The 21,168-nt window shown below is 57.3% G+C and overlaps 1 protein-coding gene across 7 annotated transcripts in view, besides 5 other annotated features; it reads left to right on the top strand.

The window, feature by feature from the left end:
- Positions 1-2,418: 2,418 nt before the first annotated feature.
- Positions 2,419-21,168, top strand: part of LINGO1 (leucine rich repeat and Ig domain containing 1) — a 207,874-nt gene continuing 189,124 nt past the window's right edge. For 4 of the 7 annotated variants that reach the window (NM_001301194.2, NM_001301192.2, NM_001301191.2 and 1 more), the window contains exon 1: positions 3,867-4,048. The gene's annotated coding sequence lies outside the window, so the exon portion shown is untranslated. Of the gene's footprint in view, positions 2,477-2,986; positions 3,062-3,117; positions 3,286-3,866; positions 4,049-21,168 lie in introns of those variants that run through there. The other 3 variants (NM_001301186.2, NM_001301187.2, NM_001301189.2) reach the window with 3 other exon arrangements.
- Positions 4,122-4,756: an enhancer, noted in NCBI's record as "H3K27ac-H3K4me1 hESC enhancer chr15:78110905-78111539 (GRCh37/hg19 assembly coordinates)". NCBI's record gives its function as "activates a minimal SCP1, AML or CMV promoter by ChIP-STARR-seq in primed H9 embryonic stem cells {active_cell/tissue: H9 hESC(primed)}" and the evidence as "EXISTENCE:reporter gene assay evidence [ECO:0000049][PMID:30033119]".
- Positions 4,757-5,391: an enhancer, noted in NCBI's record as "H3K27ac-H3K4me1 hESC enhancer chr15:78110270-78110904 (GRCh37/hg19 assembly coordinates)". NCBI's record gives its function as "activates a minimal SCP1, AML or CMV promoter by ChIP-STARR-seq in primed H9 embryonic stem cells {active_cell/tissue: H9 hESC(primed)}" and the evidence as "EXISTENCE:reporter gene assay evidence [ECO:0000049][PMID:30033119]".
- Positions 11,925-12,426: an enhancer, noted in NCBI's record as "H3K4me1 hESC enhancer chr15:78103235-78103736 (GRCh37/hg19 assembly coordinates)". NCBI's record gives its function as "activates a minimal SCP1, AML or CMV promoter by ChIP-STARR-seq in primed H9 embryonic stem cells {active_cell/tissue: H9 hESC(primed)}" and the evidence as "EXISTENCE:reporter gene assay evidence [ECO:0000049][PMID:30033119]".
- Positions 13,841-14,708: an enhancer, noted in NCBI's record as "H3K4me1 hESC enhancer chr15:78100953-78101820 (GRCh37/hg19 assembly coordinates)". NCBI's record gives its function as "activates a minimal SCP1, AML or CMV promoter by ChIP-STARR-seq in naive H9 embryonic stem cells {active_cell/tissue: H9 hESC(naive)}" and the evidence as "EXISTENCE:reporter gene assay evidence [ECO:0000049][PMID:30033119]".
- Positions 18,551-19,145: an enhancer, noted in NCBI's record as "H3K27ac-H3K4me1 hESC enhancer chr15:78096516-78097110 (GRCh37/hg19 assembly coordinates)". NCBI's record gives its function as "activates a minimal SCP1, AML or CMV promoter by ChIP-STARR-seq in naive H9 embryonic stem cells {active_cell/tissue: H9 hESC(naive)}" and the evidence as "EXISTENCE:reporter gene assay evidence [ECO:0000049][PMID:30033119]".

Below are 21,168 nucleotides of genomic sequence, written 5' to 3'. Positions count from 1 at the left end.
GCCCACAATGCATATTCATGGAAAGAATAAAGAATGTTGGCTCTCAGTTCAAATCCTGGAACTTCTCCCTGAGCCTTGCTTTTTTCTTCTCTGAAATGGGAATGATAACACCAAGATTAGTGTGAGGGTGAGCCAATGAATGAAAATCTCCTGGCCACACTCTGCCAAGAGTAAAGAGGGAGATCGGGGTGGGGAGGGGGTGGTTGACGCCAGCTGCTTAGGGATGGAAGGACTTGAGACGTGTGGAAACCAAAAGTGATGGGGACAGGTGGGGAAAGACGTGGAGGTGGGGAGATTGGATGTGTTTAGAGATAGCAAGGAGACAGCCCAGCTGGGTGGGGCATTTCTCTGAACACTTGGTGACCTGCTTTTCAGCCTGGCTTAGGAAACCAGGGGTTTCAGAGGAAGTGGGTGGGAAATGCCCACTGCCTCCTCGAATTCCATGTGGGCCACTCTCAGTCTCTCGGCTGGACCTGGTGTGATGATTAGATCTGGAACACTGCCAAAGTTCTCCATGACTGGCCCATGAAGATGGCTGGAAACAGCAGAGCGGCCCTGGGCAGGCATTTATTGGGGCACTGACCCAGCCTCTGTGGTGGAAAGCAGCCAGCCACCAGCCCCTGGTAGAGGAGCTACCTCCTGGAGCTAGCTGTCCAACTGGTCTTGTTCCTGGTCCCTGCCCCAGGCCCCCAGCTACTACTGCTCTGGCCGTAGAGTGGGCCTGGTCATTATTCATGCCATGCCTCTCTGTAAAGCCTGCTGGAAGGAAGACGTGGCAACAGCCTCTGGCCACCAGCACAAGGGCAGGACACAAGGGGACCCCAGAGAGGCCTCTGCACATGACTGCCTTTGTGCAGAACTCCTGGATAGAGGGCCTAGGCTTGGACTTGCTGGGGAAAATAAATGACATAGACTCAGGTTCGTCATCCCTGTGGTGCATATCAGCTTGCTCCCATACTTAGGGAGGGAGTTAAGGCTCAGAGAAAGTGTGCCACCTATTTGAGTTTGCACCGCATAGCTGGGCATAAATTCCCAAGCACGGACACAAAGGCTGTGTGGCTTCCAAGACAGCAGAAGTAAGCGGGAGAACTGGATGGTGGGAAATGGATGGGGATGCAGGCTGAAATTGCTGCTCTGCAAGGATGTCAGAGACTCTGGGGAAAGGCTGTTTGTCTCTGTGTGGCTTCCCTAGGGCTCACCTGGAAGCCCTGGGAAGACTCCTCAGGAGGCGTGCTGAGCCAGAGCAGGCAACAGCCATGAGCTCATCTCCCTTGAGACCCCCAGGAAGTCTGGTAGGGAGGTAGAAGGAAAATGGTCAGGGAAAGAGGGAGAGGGGAGACAACAGGGACTTTGGGATGGGCCACAAAGCCAAGCTCGGACACGGGGAAGAAAAGGCCATTTGCCGCATGCCCGCTGTGTGCTGAGCCATTCCTGAGCATCGTCCCTCGTGGATTCTTTGCCAGTCATGTTACTGGCAATGTATTTTTATTCCCATTGTACCAAGGAGGACACTGAGGCTGGAACTGATACTGGATCTGCCTGATACCAAAGTCTAGGGTCTTCACAGGGCACCTTCATGATGGGTGGGTACAGGAGCCTGGCCCTTCCTGGACTCACATCACAGCCACAGCGCAGCCTGGGCTTCTCCTACTTCCAGCTCCGGACAGCAGGGGGAGGCTGTGCTGCGTCTGGCTGTAGATATGGGTGCAGAAGTGGGTCTGGGCTTAGAGGGGAGAAACAGAAGAGGGGGTGGCCTCTGGCAAAAGCTGCTGGGTTTGGGAAGCCCTTAGCCATACCTCTGTGACGGCTGAAAGGTGGGGGTGGGGGCTGCTGCCTAGATTTGCCAAGTGGCAGCTCTGCTGCTGCCCCAGAACAAAGTCGAAACTCCTCAAATCAAGGATTTATAGCTTCTCTTCCCTCCAAAACACCCATCACTCCATTTCCCACTTCCAGGTCTTTGCACATGCTCTTCTTTTGGCATGGGATACCCTTCGTGTTCCTTTCTGCCTGGCCAATTCTTACTCATCCTTCACTATCTGGCTTCAATGTCACCTCCTCCAGGACCTCCTCCACCCACCACAGCTCTATCATACCTCCCTTATTCTTATTTTCTGAAGGTAGGAATGTGTCTAAATCATCTGTGTCTCCAGGACCTAGCACAGGATGGGGCATATGACAGAAACTTCCTGAACAATGGGCAAAATGCATCCCTCTGGAGAGCAAGGGACAGCCTGGGTGGGAGTAAGGGTGGGGAGGGGGCCCTGAAGACGAAATGCTCACGTGCTAGACTTGTCCAGGATCAGGCTGACCGGGAGCGTAGGGGTGCACTTTACTTCCCAGGGGTGTCATGAGGGTCCAGGGAGATCTTGGATGTGAGGGAGCTCTGCAAACGGTAGGTCCCTGTACTGACTCAACTTTACCTCGTTCCCTGGTTTCCCTGATGAGGCAGTTGGAAGGAGGAGGCAGACCAGTCCTGGTGAGTGTCCGGGGTGGCAAGGATTGCAGTCTCAGCGGTGGCCTCAGCTCTCACAGGCAAGGAGGTGGGACTCTGGGGGCTGAGGGACTACCTTGGGACTCCCCCTTCTATGGGGACCTAACACCATATCAGAGCTGGGCATGGGCTCAGAAATGATGGAAGCCATGCCCTTCCCAAAGGGGGTAAACTGAGGTGCAGAGAGGGGTCGGCATTTGCCCAAGGTCACACAGCAGGAGCGGGACGCCAGCCCGTGAGCCCTGTCCTCCCAGCATGACAGGTGTCTTCACCTGGAGTTCAGACTCAGACGGCAGCTTCACTGACCCCCATCCCCCGCCACGCAGTCCAGGGCGCTCAGCCTACACCGCCGCACACCCATTGTCGGCCCAGAGGCTTGGCCGCTGAGCGCCCCCTGGATGGCGTGGTCTGACCGTCCTTCTCCTTGACTCACCTCCAGCCCCGAGGGCCGGGCTCCACGGCGGCGGAGAGGGCGTCGCCCGCACGGCCCCGGCTGTGCCACCGCCCCGGACTGTTCCCGCGCAGCGAGGTCCCTTCCCCGGGGCCCCCGGGTGGGGCCGGTCGAGCCGGGTGCGCTATCCCTTTAAGCCCGGGCGAGATGAGAGCTGTCAGCGGCAGCCGAGGCTAGCGCGGGACGTCGCCACCCTAGCGCCAGGCCGGAGCTAGCAGCCGCGGAGCCGCGGAGAGCGGAGGGGGCGGCGGGGCCGGGCGTGGCGGGTCCCCTCGCCGCCCACTGCGCGCTCGAACCCTGGGCCCCGCGAGCGGCGGGCGGCACCCGCTGTAATGCGGAGAATGTGAGAGGCAGCGCAGGGCGGTGGGGAGGAAGGGGCGCGGGAGAGGGCGGCGGCGAGACAGACGGAGAGCAGCGGGGAGAACGAGGACCGGGCTGGGCAGGTGGGACAAGGCAGGGAGGCGCCGGAGAGGCCGGACTGGAAGGGGGGGAGAAGGGCGGCGGCGCCGCGGAGGGGGCCGGCGCTTCCCGCGGGAGTGCGAGAAGCCCGAGTCGGCACCTGGGCCCAGGTTCGGGCTGGGAGCGCGGCCGCGGCCCGGCCAGGCAGGGTGCGGGAGCCGGGCCGCCCGCGGGGTCCCTACGGGGAGCAGCGGGGCACCTAAGGCCGGCGGGTCCCGGAGGGGCCCAGGGCCGCGCTCCGCAGGCTCCGGCCGTCCCGGCAGGGGGTCTTTGTGAGCGCTCCAGGAGGGCGAGTCGGGAGTGCGGAGCCGGGTGTGCGCGCCTGGGTGTGCGCGTGTGTGCGCGAGTGTGGGCGCCGGGCAGTGGGGGCGCGCGGTAGAGATTCTGCCGGCATCGCATCGTGGCGAGCAGGAGGCAGGAGCGGGACGCGCAGGGGAGCCGGGACCCTCCCGCGCACACGCACATGCACACGCTGCGCGCTCTCACGCGCATACACACGCCCTCCCTGCCGCGCTCGCCGCCGCGGCCACCATCGCGGAGCCGAGCCCTGCGGAGCGGGAACCGAGGCCGGAGCGGGGACCGGAGGCAGCCGAGCCGGGGGATGCCGGCCCGGAGCGGAGCCGCGCGCGGACGGCGCGCCCGGGACGGTGAGTGTGGCCGGGCCGGGACGCTGCAGCGGGGCCAGGGCCGCAGGGGCGCAGGCCGGGGAGCCGGTGTGTCTGCCCGCCGGCGGCGCGGCGCGCGCGGCCTCTGATTGGGCGGGAGCCTCGGGGGCAGCGGCGGGGGTGGGGTGCTGGGTGCGCGTCCGTGGGGGGCGTGCACGCTTGGGGCTGGGAGGGGGCGTGCTCGGCAGCCCAGGCCGCGGCCCCGCCTCACCCTTACCTGCAGCTGCAGCCCCGACGACTTGCAGCAAGTTTGTGGAGCCCCTGGGGCGCGGCGGGCCGGGAGGGGTGGGGACGGAGGCGCTTTGAGGGTGCAACTCCGGCCTTCCTTTCCAGAGAAGAGAACGCGAGGGGAGTGGGGCGGGGGCGCGGGCCGGGCCGTCTGGCGGGCGGAGGGGTGCGCCTCCAGCTCCTCAGTCGCGCAGCCGCCCGCTCTCTGGGACACCCACCTAGGCCCGCGGCGCCGCGCTGGAGCCGCTCCGGGCGCCAGACTACTATGACCCCGCTAGGGTCAGGCAGGACCGCGCGGGGACAGCTCCCAGGCCCAGGGCCTGGGATGTCTTTGCAGGCAGGAGGAAGACACCAAGGTTCAGTTGGGGGAGTGCGGCGACGTGCCCGGGCGTGTATGTGTGTGTCCCCGCGCCTTCTGCTCCTCAGGACGGTGGCTGGAAGAAGGGAACTTGCCGCAAGGCGCGCCCCACCCGACCTGGACCCTCAGGAGCTCCCAAGAGGCCGGGGGCGTCTCCAGGTCTGCCGGCCTGGTGCCCCATACCTGCTTGGAGCCATGCCCCCGCGTGCCTCACTCTACATTGAGGTTGTGGCTGTGCTTTGTACCCTCTCCCATTGTGAGTCTCCTCCCACACTCTGGACCTGTACTGGCTGCCTGAGGGAACCTCCCCACACCCCTAAGTGCCAACCCAGCCAGTCCTGTGGAAGATGGGATGGAAAGCTGTGGTCCAAGATGGTGCCTCTGAGAGGGAGAGAACCCCGTGTCTCCTGGAGTGAGAGGCCCAAGGAAGGATCTGGGGTCAGGACTCCTGCAGGTTCCTCATCCTCCTTGTTTCCAGGGCAGGTTTTTCCTCCTCTAGGAAGCCTTCTCTGGTTGCTCCTGAGTCCTTCCAGCTTGGACTTCCCTGGGGTTGTAACTGCTGGGATCCCAAGCAGCCCCCATCCATATGCCTTCTTTCCTGCCACTCGCCTGTGAACCTGTGTGGTTAGAAGTCTTGATCTCAGCCTGGATGCTGTGTGGAGGGGTGTGGTGGCTGGACCAGTCAGTATCTACCTGGGTCTCTGGAGTATGGTAATGTCTATGGTAATATCAGCTTTCAGGCTTAAACCTTACTTCCACCTCCATTATCCTTCTGGAATCTCTCAGCCACTTTGTGAGAATGCAGGACCGGTGGGCAAGTTGCTTATCCATTTCACAGAGGAGGATTTTGTGGCAGAGATGGAGGTAGTTTTCTAAGTCTTAGGACAGCCCTTTTCCACTGCGAGGGTATCCGCTGACCCTGGTCTTTGGTGAGGCATGGAGGACACCCAGGCCTTCTTTATTGACCTGGCAGGCGGGCTCCTGCTGCGTGTGGCACGTTTACTGGGCTGGCGGCTGTTCTCAGCTGGAGGCAGTTGAACAAAAGCTCCTGACCTGTGGGACCTTTTGACCCTAGCTTGGTTAAATATGTGCTTCCTGGATTTGGGGCCAGAGGCTGTCAGTGCTTTGCTTGATGGTTTGGAAGCCCGGCTCCTGTCATCCTCTGCACAGCTCTGGGAGTTCACTACCATCCCAGGGATCCGAATCACTCCCGCCCAACCTGGCACTCTATGCTGGGTCCTGGCATTGTCCTTGTGTTTGGGCCCCAAAAGCCTTCCTACCCTCTCCATCCTAGAGCCCCTCTGTGGGCCAAAGATGCCCCGTGGAGATCTAAATGTGCACTGGGGGAATTGGAGGGGACTCTGGTGGCTATTGTGGCCACTTCCTCCCCAGGTGGCCCACCTGAAGAACAGGAGGTCAGAGCTGTCAGCCCCAGGCAGGCTTCTGTGACTTCCCTCAGTCCTGCTGGCAGCCTGGAGTCATCCCCAGGGCCTTCGGGGTAAGAGCTGTTGCCCGGGAGTTACCACTGGGGGTGGGGCTGGGCCTGCTGGATCCTGGCGGTGGCCTCCTCAGCCTTTGCTGGCTTCCCCGTCCCGGGCGGCCTCTCTCTGCCTCTCCCTGCTCCTCCCTTGTTGGCTCTGGCTGATCATGGCCTTTCTTTGCCATTGTTTTTTTCTTCTCTCTCTCTCTCTCAGCTCCTCTTCCTCTTCACCTGTGGCTCCCTAAGCTCCAGACTTTTGCCTCCTGAGTGTTGACCAAAGCTCTGGTTGACATCCAGGTGGCTGGAGCATGGCAAGACGCCTAGCTTGGTTCCACCCCTATCATCCATGCCTGCTTGAACCCCTGCCCCGGTTCTTCTGGTACCTCCACTCCCACCCCAACCAACTCCACAAAATGAACCCTTCATTTGGGGTCCCAAGCCATGGTGAGGGGGAGACCAGGGGCACTTATTTGGCCCCTGGTCTATTCTGCCGGGGATGAAAATTCCAGCCAGGGGCTCCCCACCCCTACTGGCTGCTCCCTTTAGGAAAACAGCCACTTCCTCACCCCAGCCTCCTGACTGGGAGGGAGCAGTGCCCAGTGTGACCCCCTTAATTTCCCTCCCCAGGCAAGACCTGACCCTGCTATATTTGTGTTTTAAATTGTAAAGATATTCTAACAAACCCAGTGATAAGAATTTATTGAGTGGGCTGGGCCTTGGGGTGGCTCAAGGTGGAAAAGCTGCCCCTGACCTCTCAGGCATAGCTTTGTGGGGGCTGAGGGCTACCCTGACCAGTCTCAGAGTTTCTTCCGTGGGCTTCTGGGGCCCAGACCCCTGTTCCCAGGAACCACACCTTGGCTGTTACTCTCCATGGCCTGGAGCCTCGCTTCACATTTGGAGGTATCTTCTGGCTTGAGACCTGGACTGAGTGCTGGGGATACCAGTGATGAGCCTGGGCCCCTCCCCGGATGGGCTCTCAAAGGGGAAACAGATTTGGACCCATACCTCTGAGTATTAGTGAAGCCGGCTGGGTAACCAAGAGGCTCAGTGGGGGAGTGGCAAGGGGCTGTTTCAGAAGGAGGGGACTGGCGGGGCCTTGACCTGCTGAGATTTTCCGGCACTTGATCTATGCTCAGTAAATAATTGTTGACTAAATGAGTGAATGGAGAATGCGAACGTGAGTGGGGGCTTTCTAGGAAGATGGCACGGCACTGGCAAAGGCATGGAGGTGGGAAGCGCTGGGCAAGGGTAGAACGTGTTTGCAGTGGAGTAGTTCACATGGGGGCATGGAGAAGGTTGGCACCAGACAGAAGAGGATCCTCAGTGCCCATCTGAGGAGTGTGGGCTGATTCTGAATTCAGGGCTTGCAGCGTTGAAGTTCTGGAGGAACACAATTAGATGTGCGATATAAACCACGTCTCTGGTGGTCTTGGGTGGGGTTGTCCAGGTGCTGGGAAGACCTGGGTGGGGTGATCTAGGTCGTCAGAGTTCGGCGAGGGCTCAGGATTCACCAGTCCTACCACCTGGGCATACAGAGGTGGCAAGTGTCCTGAAGTCATAGATGCAGCCTCCAATACTGGCCTTGCCACTGTGTGCACTTCAGTAAGCCGCTGAGGCCCATGGGTCTGCCTCAGTTTCTGTGTCTGTAAAGTGAACACATTTGTTTGTCTCCGTGGATAACTGGAGTGAGTTTGAGTGGGATTTTGTAACCTCGGAGGAGGGCTATGAAGGAAAAGGGGTAGAGGGCTGTTTGGCATTGCTGTTTGATAGAGGAAGAGCTTGAGGCCTAGAGCGGGGCAGTGGCTAGCACAAGGTCACTAAGCAAGTTGGGAGTGGGCACTGCAGTCTTGGGTTTTTCTGGCTGTGCCTGTGCTTGCTGGGCAGGGGTGGGTGGGGTGGCCGGGGCCTCAGGGCCTCTGCAGAGGACGTCCTTAGGCAGTTGTTTCAGCACTCCAGCTGTCGGAGAGCATATGGGGCCATATGGCCACATCAGGGGAGGTGCCAGCCGCTGGAGGAGGGATAGCAGCTGCCACCATGGTCTTCTGGATCTATGTGGGCACTGCTAGCCACCAGGGTCAGGGCGAGAGGAGGCTAAAGTGGAACTTCGGTGTCCAGGTTGGTTTGGACATGGAGACTGGGCCTTGGCAGGTGGCCCAGTTCCAGCACCCATCTGCCAGGGCAGCCGGATAGGCAGCTCCATGCCCAGGACTGATCCAGTTAGCTCAAGGCCAGCTGTGCCAGCCACCCTCCTCACATGCCCCACCCAGCTCTGATGGCCTTACCATGGGGTGGCACAGTGCCTCTGATGTCAGGGTCACTGGCCTCAGTGGAGTGTGTGTGTATGTGACATATCCCCAAACCCTAGGCGCTGATTCTGAAACTCTGAGACTTTGGGGTATGGAGTGGCTCCTCGAATCAGTCTGGTGAATCCAAAGGGCCTGGGCTTGGATGCCAGATGGAAATGGGTTTGAATCTTGGCTCAGCTGCTTCAAGCTGGGTGAGCTTGGACAAGTCACTTTACTGAGCCTCACTTTCCTCATGGGTGTCATGCGGGGATGATGTCTACCGTAGCCCACTTGGAAATAATGCATGTAAAGCAGCCACTAGCCAGAGGCATTGTAGGATCTCAGTAAATGTTAGCTGATGTTTTGCCCTCTGCAGGAAAGGGAAGTGGGTCAGGTTGGAGTTTCAATGTCCAGGTAGAAGTAAAGAGGAGCCTTATTATTATTATTTTCCAAGGCAAAATCTGCTTTATAATTTTGTGTTTTTATACTCCTTCTTTTGTTTAGTCCTCATGGTAGTTCCAATAAAGTAGGCAGACAACATTGTTCCGTTTCACAGATGAGAAAACTGAGGGCACGGTGGGAAGTGGGTCTCCAGAAGCCACACAGTGAGTTAGGCTTGACCCTGTCTCTGGACTCCTGGTCCAGTGTTCTTGCTCCACAGTGAGGCTTTCCAAACTTCTGGGGTGGAGACTGGGGGAGGAGTGGCTTTGTCTTCTGTCTAGACCAACTTGGGGGTTCTAGAGACTCCCTTCTTGGCCCTGTTTCCATTATAGGTACAAGGACAGGCTGTCATGGACTGGTAGCCAGTCTCAGCTGGGGCTGGAATGAGGGATGCTCAATGAGGCAGCATCTGCTGTATTTCTCATCTGCCCCAGCACAGGGAGGGGCTGAGATTGGGGGGGCTTCCTAGGGGGCAGGAGAGCCCAGGGACGAGTGAGGGATGGACCTTCACCTCCCAGGCAACCCTGGCCATGCTAAGGCGAGCAGGCCTGAGCCTTCTGGGGCAGGGTGGGGAGGGCGCTGGGCCCTGGCCCTTTCTTTGTGTAAGGTGTATAACCTTAGACAGCTCACTGTCTTCTTTGAGCCTCGGCTTTCCCCTTTGGACACGGGACAAAATGATCTCCCTGCCTGCCTTACAAGGCTATTTTTGAGGCTCTAATACGTATTTTTCTACATGGCAGGGCATTATAAAAACATGCTATTTCACGGCTGTAATTCCAGGACTCCCCTGTCCTGCAATTTGATGATCTATGATCATTCAACGTATCACTGTTTGGGCGCCTCCTCTGGGCCTGGCTGTTCTGGGTGCTATAGGGACAGAGATGAGTAGGACCAGCCTCTGCCCTCTTGGGGCATGCAGCCTGGTGGAAACCATGGACAGACCTTCCCAAGCCCAGGCTGGCTGTCATGCTCTCACCCAACACCCTCCCAGCACTCCCTGTTACCTCCAGGCTGGCGTTCTGACCCCTCGGCACCTTGCCCAAGCCTATGTCCCACCCCAGCCCTCTCTCCTAAGCACCTCTCTGTGTCCCCAGGCTCCAGCCAATCAGATGGGCTGTCGCTGTCCTCCTCCATGGTCCTTCCACCTGAGAGTTCTCCCCCATCCCTGTCCGTGGAGATCCCACCCACTTTTTAAGGCTTAGCCCAAATGCCTCATTAAAAAAAAAACCTTCTATTGGCCACCCCTCCTGGAAGCAGCCCATCCTTCCTCAGAACTCTGAGAGCAGTGTATCAGCTTTACATTTAGGGAACATTTATTATTTACTGTGTACCCACTATATGCAAGGCCTGGGGGCGGTTTGTCTTTGTTTTGACTTGGGAGCACCTTGGTGGCAGGGACTGGGCTTATCCATCTTGTGTTCCTTGGGCGTGCCTGGGGGCCAACTAGGCTGATCCGGGTCATGCAGTGCCTCCCTTGGGGCCTCTGTGGCCACTGACACCTCCTCCTTGGGTAGTCCCTTAGGCCTGGGGATTTGGGCTAGGCCCAAAACATCTGTTTGAGAAGCTCCCGAGTTATGGGTTGCTTTGCTCCTGAGACGCTCATCATAGATACGGCCCTCCCTGTCCCTGATGGCTGTGCCAGGATGGGGCGGGGCCACCCAGTCACTAGCCATACATAACTCTCCCCGATGAATTGCACGGCACTCAGCAATTAGTGATTGATCATTTGGGGTACTGATAAATCTCCATTATTGATCCACGGAGGTGAGCCTGGCCATTGTTGGCGAGGGTCAGCTGGGCCTGGCTGGGAGATTGCAATCATGGCCATTTATTTCTGACCAGGAAGCTCAATAAACAGGAGGCAGAGAAAGAGACGCAAGCCCCCCTGTCTGTGACCCACACCGCCAGGGTGGGGCTAGAGGGCTGGGGAGGAGGGGGAGTTGGAGCAGCTGGGGAGCTTTTGCCCACCTCCTCCACCCTCTATTCTCCACCTTCCTTATTTTGCTTCCAGTCTCTTCTGGCCCTGGGCCTCAGCTTTCCCATCTGTTAAGTGGAGATTTCAGTCTCTTTGTCCGGTGACACTTTGCCTTTGAATGAGATGCCCGGGCAGTTACTGACTTGTCATCATTTCTGCTCCACCGGTAGGGGTATTCTGAGGCTCCAAGAGGATGGTGGCCGCATGAGGATGGAATCAGTATCAGGACCCCCAGCCCTGGGCTGCTCTGCAGAGGGCATGGGGAGCCTGGTGGGTGGGGGAGGTGTGGTCACAAGACAGCAGTCACCTCAATAAAGGGCAGCATCTGGCTTCTGAATGTGTTAAGGCTTTTAAATGTGCAGCTAGGGCTCAGTGGAATTTGTGAAAAGCGATTTCTAGGGAAACAACATAAAGGAGATGGCAGGGGGATGTTTAACCTACTTCAGAGACCCAGTTGCCTTTCAGGCATACCAGGAGCACCAGGCATTGTGTGTGGGGCTCCTGCCTGGCTCACGTGACTGTGCTATTTTTTTTTTTTTTAATTTTGTTGGGAACATTTTCAGACATACGAAAAAGTAGAGAGAATAGTACAGGGAACTCCGTATACCCTTCATCTAGATTTAACAATTGTTGACATTTTCCCACATTTTGCTTTATCTGTTTTTTCCAGAGTATTTTAAATTATAGACATCAAGCCTTTTCACACCTAAACATTTCAGCATCCATCTCTAAAAAATAAGATAAAATATTTCTGCCTAATCTTAAGTGGTCTCAAATTTTTTTCATTTTATCCTTGGGAGATAAAGAATCTGATAGATGAGCGGACTGAGGCCTCTGAAGTGACTTGGCCTGTCCAAGGTCACATAGCAGTGAAGGGGAGGGTCCTCTGCAAAGGCCCTGAGGCCCCGGCCACCCCACCCACCCCTGCCCAGCAAGCCGCAGGCACAGCCAGGAAAACCCCAGGCTGGAGTGCCTGCTCCCAACTTGCTTAGGTGGGATCTAGGAGGCAGGCTGCGGATGTAGCCCAGGATTGGGCAGACACAGGAGAGGCAGGGGAGGGGAGAGGTGGTCTGGAGCTGGACCCCTCTGAACAGGTTCCTCTGGCTTAGGCTGGAGGGTCCACCTGGAAACAGGAAGTGACCCTCTTTTAGGTTAATTATCTCTCTTGTTTGCTGTGGGGATTAATCAGGAACTGCAGCGTCAGGAAAATCTAAAACAACTTCTTGTTTATTGTTTAATTTAGGAGAATGTTATCAGGCTTGGGCCATGCAGGGCCAGGGGAGCCTCTGTTGGCAGAAGCAGCTGGGCTGCCCCCACCGGCCACCCTGTGGGAGCAACCGGGAAGGTGGTGGGAAGGCTGGCCTGGCAGGAGGGGTTGGGATCGGGTCTGGACAGCTGTGGGAATTGGGGTGGGGGGGTGTTGGGGGCTTGGGGCTGCACCTGAGATCTGGGCTGGACCAAAGACTCTGTAACCTCGGAACAGATCGGAAGTGAAACTCAAGGGGGTGAGCTTCTGGGGGATATGTGGACATCCGGGAGGGCCTCGGGCTGCCTGAGGCCCTACTGAGGAGCTCTCCTTTGTCTTCCGGCCTCCTGCCCGAGCCTGGACTCCTCCCTGGGAGGCTGTGGCAGAATGAGTGCCCTCTGCCAGCCCAAGGTAGCTACAGGTCTCCCTGGGCTTCCCCGCCTCCTTGGGGTTAGGGTGATTCCTCCCCCAGTACTCTCCGATGCTTGGACTCCCTGAGGGGTCCCAGAGGTCACAGGTATGGAGTCACAGAATGCTGGAACTAGAAGGCGTACTTAGAGATGATCTCATTCCTCCTCTAGGTTCCAGATAGGAAACTGAGGCACAGGGAGTGGCCAGTTCTGTCTTGTGTCTCATGGTGAAGCACTGCAGAGCCTTGGCAATAAGTCAGGCATCTGGCTTCTCAGTCCCAGGATCCTCTGCTTCCAGGCCACATGGGCTTGTCATTCAGGACCCACTAGTGCTCCCCTGGGTACAGAGCCGGGAGGCTGGATCAGCTGCGGAAGGGCTGCCAGTCATCCTGGGGGATGGGCCTAGGATTCCCCTATTAGAGTCTGCCCTCCTCGCTGTCCCTCTCCCTCTCCTCCCTAGATTCCTCTGTGTGTGTGTGTGTGCATGTGTGTGTGTGTGCATGTGTATGTGTGTGTGTGAGCCTAGTTACCCGTGTGTGTGTGCTTGTGTATGTGTGTGTGAGTGTGTGCATGTGTATGCGTGTGTGTGTGTGTGTGTGTGTATGTTTGTGTGTGTGCCTAGTTACTTACCCGAGAGGAGAAGAGCTGTGCAGGTTAGGGAGGAGGCCTCAGTGGAGTGTCCTGAGGCTCAGCCATCTGGGACTGAGACTGGTCTCCTGTCCATAGTGAGCCCCCACAGCAAGGAGGAGTGCCCTGATTAGTGCCAGGCTTACTGTTGGGCTTATTCTTGAGGTCATTGGGGGAGGAGGGTGGGAGAGGCCACTGGGAGAAAGGCAGCCAGAGTGGGAGTGAAAGGCAGAGACATCAGGACACCTCCTGATCCCTGCTCTCCAGCCCTGCAGCGCCACCAGACCCACAGCAAGCCTGTCTGTTCTCTGCGGTTGGGGAAGGAGAGGAAGCCACCTCACCTCGGACGAGTGGCTCAATGGGAGCTGTGAGACAGGGGCATGTTGCCACCTCTCCTGGGCAAATGTTTCTTCCCTGGCAAAACGAGGCAGGGGCTGGGCGTCCTCTGCTCTGAGAGCCAGGTGGGGAGGACAGGTCATGGCTGGCTGTAGGTTGGTCCTTCACCCCCCTGCCAGGCAGGAAGTAGACTGGAAGGGTCACAGGAAACAGCACGGGTCCTTGGTGTCCCCTCAGCCCACCAGGCCTTCCCTCTGCTCTCCCAGTGCTGTGGGGGTTGGGGGAGGGCACCATGCTTATAGTCCAGGAATCGGGTCGGGGCGGGGCATAGCCTCTGTGTGTTCCCACAGTGACTATATGCTAGATCCCAGAGGGACCTGGAAGAACGTTACCCTCATTTGTGTGCACAGCTGTTCTGCAAGGTGGGCATTATCGACTCCATTTTACAAATGAGGAAACTGAGGTTCAGGGTGGTCACCCGCCTGGTTAGGGGTGGGGGTGAGATTTGAGTTCAGGACTGCCTGGCTTCCCCGGATCCCGCTGCCTTTGAGGCCTGGTTTCTGCTCTCATCCTCATCACTACCTGCTGGGTTTTGGTGCTTGCCTTTGTCCAGTAGGGCTGGGAGGATGGCTGAGAGCTGACCTGCAGGCCTCGGGCTGGAGGGGAGGCATGCTCCTCATCCCCCTGGGAGGCTGAACCTCCATTCACCTCCTCCACCTGGCCTGGCAGATTCTAAGGGCTCTGGCTGAGGCTTACCAGCGTTCTTGGAGGAATCCTTCCTAAGCCAAGCAAAATGGGAGGATCCTGGCCCTGTGCTCAGGGATTGGGCCTCCATGTGTGTGCAAGGCTCATTAGAGCCTCCAGTGCCCTTTGCTCCTAGCCGGCACGTGCCTTCCAAGTGAGCATTTGTTGGGTGACTGCATGTGGAGTGGGAGCCTGAGTGCGCATATATGGGCCATCCGAGGCCTGGGGAGTCACACCTGAGGGTTGAGCGTGAAATAGGGCAGAGGAGAGTTCACTGAACCCCTGTTAAGTGTTGGGCACAGTGCCAGATGCTTTACCTGTATTACCTCATTTAATCCTAACAACAACCCCATGAGCTGTGCACTATTACTATCCCCATTTAACAGATGAGGAAACTGAGGCTCAGAGAGATTGAGGGACTTGGTGGAGATCACGCAGCTAATGAATGGAGGAGCTGGCATTTGAACATAGGAGCATTGCTTCTACAGGAGGCTGTGTCTGTGTGCCAGACAGAGGGGAGTCTGTGCTGCAGCTGGGACGAAGGCAGTGTGGTTTCAGGAAGAGGTGTCTGCTCTGTATTTGGAGGGAGGAGGTCAAGGGTCCAGCAAAAGTCCAGGTGAAGGAGGGATTCAGCAGCAGAGGCCTGGCTGGCAGGCCAGCATTCGGGTCTAGGGCTGTGGGATCTTGGCTCAGCTTCCCTGCACTGGATCCAGATCCTCAAACCTGCCTCACCTCCCTCTCAAGGCCTTTGCCCCGATACAGGAATGCATCCTTATGCTCCTGTATCTGGGCAAAGGCCTTGCGGCGAAACTGACCGTGGCTTCTCAGAGGACAGTCAGGGCAGTGTGCCACATTGGGGAGCATCTGCAGATGAGGCTGGAGAGGGGCCCGGGCTGTGCAGGCCTCCAGTGCCAGCCTGCAGTGGTGGATGTTCTCTGGATTTTGAACAGGGGAGAATTGTGTCCAGGTCTGAGGTTTACAGAATGGATCTCTGGTGGCTGGGGGCCATGGGTGGTGGGGAAGGGGTGAGCGAGCAGGGGGCAGCTGGGGGCTTCTCTCCCCCTTGACCCAAGCCTGCATGGGTAAGGCTCATCTCCTTATCTTTGATTTTTTCCACCCCATTCCCTGCCTCCTAGAATGTGGAGCTGGGTGGGGACCAGAGGAGGTCCTTGGCCCCTTCCAGGCCCCTCCCTCAGAGACTGTAAATATTTTGTCTTCACCATCTCTGCTGCTGGAAGTTGCTGCTCTTAACGCCTTTTTTCTTTTGCTTGATACAAACGAACGCTGGAAAAATTCCGTGCCGGGCGCTCGCTCTGTTGCTTCTGCTCGTGCCCAGAGTCCCCTCCAAAAACTCTAATTGCTTTTAAGCTGTGATAGTTGGCAAAAGCAATTTTCTTTACATTATGGAGGAAAGGGGAAAATCCACCAGATTTTCTTCTTCCTTTCTTTCCCCCTGTTTTGACTCTAACCTTTCGTTTTGAGTTCTCTGCACTGCTGCTGTGGTCCTGGGAGAGAAATGGAGTAGAAGAGACGTGTGCAGGGAGGCAGGAACACCCATGAAAAGGGCATTTTTGCCTCTTTGCGCCTCAGTTTCCCCATTACAGAGTGATTATATGTCCATCCATTCATTCCCTAGAGGTTCCCTGAGCACATCCGTTTGAAGCAACTTGAGGGCCAGGACTGGCTGCTGCACCCGGGACAGAGCCTGACACATAATGGGTGTTCCATTAAGGTTGGCCAGTTGGATAAACAGCTCCACTGGCAGCCAGGCACTTTGCCAAGCACTGGGAATGCACAGGATGAATCCGAAGCAGCCCCTGCCCAGGAGAGCTCACTGATTAGAGGGGGCACCACCACACAAACATAATCACTACATTACTGAGTTGCACTACAGGTGGGTCCTGGGTATGAGGAGCCCAGAGCAGGGCATGCCGGGGTACTCGGGGAAGGCTGCAGGAAAGAGAAGCATTTGGACTGCGCCTTGAAGAAGGGGTAGGAGATGGGATGAACTGGGTCAAGGAGGAAGGAATTCCAGACAGGAAACAGCATGCGAAGGCAGAGAAGGGTGACCTCTGAGAAGCTGGGTGTGGCTGGAGCCGAGGCTGCCCAGATGGGCCTGAGCTACTAGGGAGAGCTTTGCATGGCAGGTGGGGAGTTTGGACTTGATCTCAAGGTAACGGGGAGCCCTGGAAGGGTTCCAAGCAGGACACTCATGCAGGGAAGATCCCTCTGGCTCCATAGTGTGGATGATGGGGCAGGAGAGATGCTGGCTGGGAGGCTGGTCACCACGGCCTGGGGGGAGATGGGAGGATAGTGGTGTGAATTTGAGACAAGCCTGGAGACCCAGATCCTGGCGCTCACCTCCTCTGCCTGTGCTGTGGGGAGAGGCACTCCAGTTCTTCCCTGGACTGGGGGGTCGGGGTCCCCTAGAGTATCTGAGGAAGCAGGCGTCCAGTTCATAGGCCTCTGCTGCTATGGTCGGGTTTGCTTCATTCTCTTTTCCTCAAGTGTATAGCCCTTTACAGTTTGTAAAGCCCACTCACCTCTGACCCCTAGGTAGATCTGAAAACAGTCCCCTGGGGTGGGCAGAACAGGATGCCCATCCCCTGTGGACAGATGTAGGTCAAGCTCGCCCCAGGGACCTGAAGGCAGGTGGAGCTGGGGAGGGGATTTGAACCCAGGCTGCTGCCTGCTCCACTTCTGCCGAGTACCCCTCCGCCCTCGACCCTCTTCCTCGCCTCTCCTCCTGAGCCCTGTGCTTCTTCCTGTTTGCAGAGAATGTGGGGCTTTTCAAAACCATTAATGATAGAAAATAAATTGGAATCGGAGAGGAATCATCACTGGGCATTCTCGGAGGGCCGCCTCTGCCCTCGCGTCTCTCAGCCATATTGAAGCCGGCAGCCAGACTGGAATATGAATGAGTCTGGGGCCAGCATTGCTCTTTATCTGCCGGGAAGCCCTCCGTGGTCAGGTGGCACTCACCAGTGGCATCGCTGTTTGCAATGAGGCTTCGGCGGCTGCTGGACATCACCAACCAGGACTGATTTCTCCGGGATGGACTCACAGTCCATAGCTGCCGAGGAGAGGTGGAGGGAACCTCGAGCTTAGCTCCCCACTCCCGCCAAAGCCCTCTGCCGGGGTCACAGCTCTGAGGTCAGCCCCGGGTGGGGTCAGGTATCCCTGCCTGAGGAGAGGGGGTACATGGAAGACCATCAGTGGTTCTGGGTGTCTGTGTGATCCTCATCTGGATATTCAAGGCCTCCTGTGAGTCCTTGGCCCTCTTGTCCTGTCTCCTTCAAGAAACCTTCCTTGATCAATGCCCAGCTCACACTTGTTCCCATTTTTAAGCTTCTTGTGGCCCTTGGAGCCTACAGGGGCCCGGCAGGAAACGCATGGAGGAAATGCATGGAGCTGGCTGGGTGTGATGCAATATGGGGTGGTAGAGACTGTGGCAACACAGAGGCACCGAGACCACCAGTTTGGAAGCCCTGCCATGGGCACTTCCACACAGTTTTGCTAAGTAGACAGTGCCCTTGCTCCACAGCCACAGCTCTCGTCTGCCAACTAGCAGAGAGCCCCCTGAGGGCAGGCCACAGTCTCTGCCCTGCAGTTTGTCCTTCCACGGCAGGCCCAGCTAGGCATAGGCTGGGCACCTGGGCAGGCCTCCCACAAAGCATCAGACTCTGGGGACCTGGGGTATCATTCAGAGTAACCCTCTTGCTTAGAGATGGGGAAATTGAGGCCCAGAGATGGAGGGTGGGTGGAAGGTCTCTGTTCTGTTCTGTCATATGGTGCACCCCTGCCCTTATTAATCTTCCCAGCAGGAGTAGGAGGGCAATTTTTGTACTCTGTTTTAGAGAGGAGGAAACTGAGGCTCAGGTGGCTGCATCCAGGGAACACCGCAGGCCTGCATTTGAATTAGTCTTTTGGAACCCCAATGCTGGCCATCTCTTTCTGGCAGGATTAGGGGATGCTGAGGCATGCACAGAGTTGTCCAAGGGGGACAAGGTGCATTGGTGCCCAGAGTAAGCCCAGCCCAGGGTGCAAGGCCTGGGATCCTGGCTCAAATATACCACCAACTTCCTGTGTGACCCAGGCCAGGCCGAGGGAGGCCCCTGGAGGGGTCAGGAGCAGTTGGGGGGGTGGGCACTGAGACCATGTGGCCTGGGCTTGGCTGCCAGCCCTTCTCAGCACTCCCATCCAGCCCTTGGGCTCCCTTGGCCCCAGGCTCATAATGAACCCTCTCACTCCTGTCATTTCTATGGTCACTATAACGTGGGAGGTGGTAACCGCAGTACCCAGGAGGGACCTGGGGCTCTGCAGGCTCACTTAGCAGTGTGGGACAGCCCAGGCAGCCAGTAGCCTGCTGCAGCTGGGAAGCAGGAGGACGAGAGAAGTGGGCCTCAGGCCACTGCTGGGTGGGCAGACTGCACAGACCTCTCAGCCCTCCAGCCTGGAGCCGGGGTCAGGCCAGCCACACCCCTGCACATCCTTGCACACACTCAGATAGACTCACGTGAACCACCTTGTCTAGCCCCGGGTGTAAGATGGAGAAGCTGAGGCCAAGAGTCTGAGAATGAGACTCAGGGTTGTCGCTCACTCACTCTGACCTCTGCCTATCCAGCCTGTGCTCTCGCCCTCCCCGATGGGGAGCTCACCCCTTATCCAGACAGCTTGCCTGCCTTGGACAGCTCCCTCCCCTCTCTGGCCATCTACTTCTAGGGACTCACACAGGGATCTTGGCTTGGGACCCGGGGCCACATGACTTGCACTAGTCCCTCCCCTCAGCACTCTCTCTTGCCTTCGGTGCATATCGTGCGAGTCTGCATTCCTTTGGGGGTGAGCCTTGCCCTGTTCCTGCCTGGTGCTTCTGGATCTTTGGGCTGGGGGCACCTGGAGGAATCTGATGAAAGCCATGGCCCTGTGTTAGAGATGGGGGCCCAGCCCCTCCTGCATGTGAATCATCATAGCCAGTTTTGTGCAGTTTTGGGGCTCACAGACCTCTGTAGTCCTCCCTCCCTGTGAACCCTGCTGGGAACTCCTGCTTTACTCATTCCCCAGGTGACATGATTAATGTCACCTGTTGTGCTACCTAGGATGAGATGCTAGGTGTTCCAGCCCCCAGGCCACACCCTTTCTGCTCTACCCTGCTGCCTTAAGAAGGGCCCACTGTGCGTGGCTTAGGGGCTGAGAACTGTGTGTATTAGGCTGTTCTTGTGTTGCTATAAAGAAATTCCTGAGACTGGGTAATTTATGAAGAAAAGAGGTTTAATTGGCTCATGGATCTGCAGGCTGTATTGGAAGCATGGTGGCAACATCTGCTCAGCTTCTGGGGAGGCCTCAGGAGCTTTTACTCATGGCAGAAGGTGAAGCGGGAACAGGCACTTCACAGGGTGAAAGTAGGAGTGAGAGAGATGGGGGAGTGCCACACACTTTCAAACGGCCAGATCTCAGATCTGTTGAGAACTCAACTATCACGAGGACAGCACCAAGTCATGAGGGATCCACCCCCATGACCCAGCCACCTCCCACTAGGCCCCACCTCCAACACTGGGAATTACCTTTCACCATGAGATTTGGAGGGAACATCCAAACTATATCACTGTGAGAACCCATTCATTCATTCTATAAACATCTTTTTTTTTTTTCTTCAGATTTTTTGTTTGTCTGTTTGTTTGGAGATGGGGTCTCGCTCTGTCACCCAGGGAGTGCAGCGGTGTGGTCTTAGCTCACTGCAGCTTCAGACTCCTGGGCTCAAGCGATCCTGCCACCTCAGCCTCCTGAGTAGCTGGGACTAGAGGTGTGTGCCACCACTCCTGGCTCAGTCTATAACATTTGTGCCTAATGCCTCCTCTGTGCTAGGCCTAGGCTGGGTTCTAGGGTACAGAGAAGAGCAAGACCCAGCCCCTACCCCTGGGGAAGCCAGACCTGTCAGCAGTTACAGCTTAGGGGATGAGGGTGGGACAGAGGTGAGCACAGGGTGGGTGTACCAGAGGGGCTTCACTCCAGCCCTGTAGGGAGAGGCTTCTTAGAGGGTGGTGGGGACTGGTCAGGGAGGACAGGCATCCCCCAGGGGGAACAGCAGGTGCAAAGGTTTGGAGGCTCAGTTCTGTTGAGGAACACAGGAGGCCCAGTCTGATTGGAGGGTAGTATTGGGAGGCACTGGGGTCAGACATGAAGCTGAAGGCCACTTGGGGATGGGCCCCAGGGGGTCTGGTGGTCCCAGTAAGGAGTGCGGGCAGGGAGCAATAGGGAGCCATAGAAGGGTGTGGAGCAGGCAGCCATGTGGTTGGATCTGCCTTTTGGAGTGCTCCCGTGGCAGCTGCAGATGGAACATGGGTGAGTGTGGAGGTGGGGACAGGAGACCTCCAGGAAGTTGTGTTAGTTGCGGCTCAGACCCAGGTAGAGAGTGTCATTCACCACTCATTAGGAGGAGTTTGCTGGTTCCCGCAGTCCCTGCTTCCTGGAGGCAGGTGGAACACGAGCTGTGCAAACAATTGTTCAAGGGAAGGGGGCCTTCTGGAACTGGAGGGGGCCTTATGCTCCTTCTGGGCAGTTTTCTCTGAATTTGTTGATTGACTCATAAGTGGGAGGGGCATTTCCAGAATGGCCTGATCTCTGCAGTTTGCCACCTGCTCCTGGCCCCTCTGCAGGCCTCCTGGCTGCCTATACCTCCTAACATACACACAAACACACACACACACCTTGGGGGAACACCCGGGGGCACAGGACATACTACACACACTATGCACACATATACGTGGATCTGCTGTGTTCCTCTCCCTCCAGACACACACATGCTGTCTCTTTGCTGTCATCCCCGAGAGTGACAACACACATACACACACACTGATTCTAGATTACAGACACGCCTCTGCACCGCTTGGAACCCACACACCCTCCAGAGTTCACCTCCGCAGACCCACATGTGCCCTCTATCTGTAAGCACCACATACCTGCATGCCCCAGTCA

This window comes from Homo sapiens, chromosome 15 (genome assembly GCF_000001405.40).
Source record: "Homo sapiens chromosome 15, GRCh38.p14 Primary Assembly".
Lineage (NCBI taxonomy): Eukaryota > Metazoa > Chordata > Mammalia > Primates > Hominidae > Homo > Homo sapiens.
This window is presented reverse-complemented; position numbering and strand designations above follow the sequence as displayed.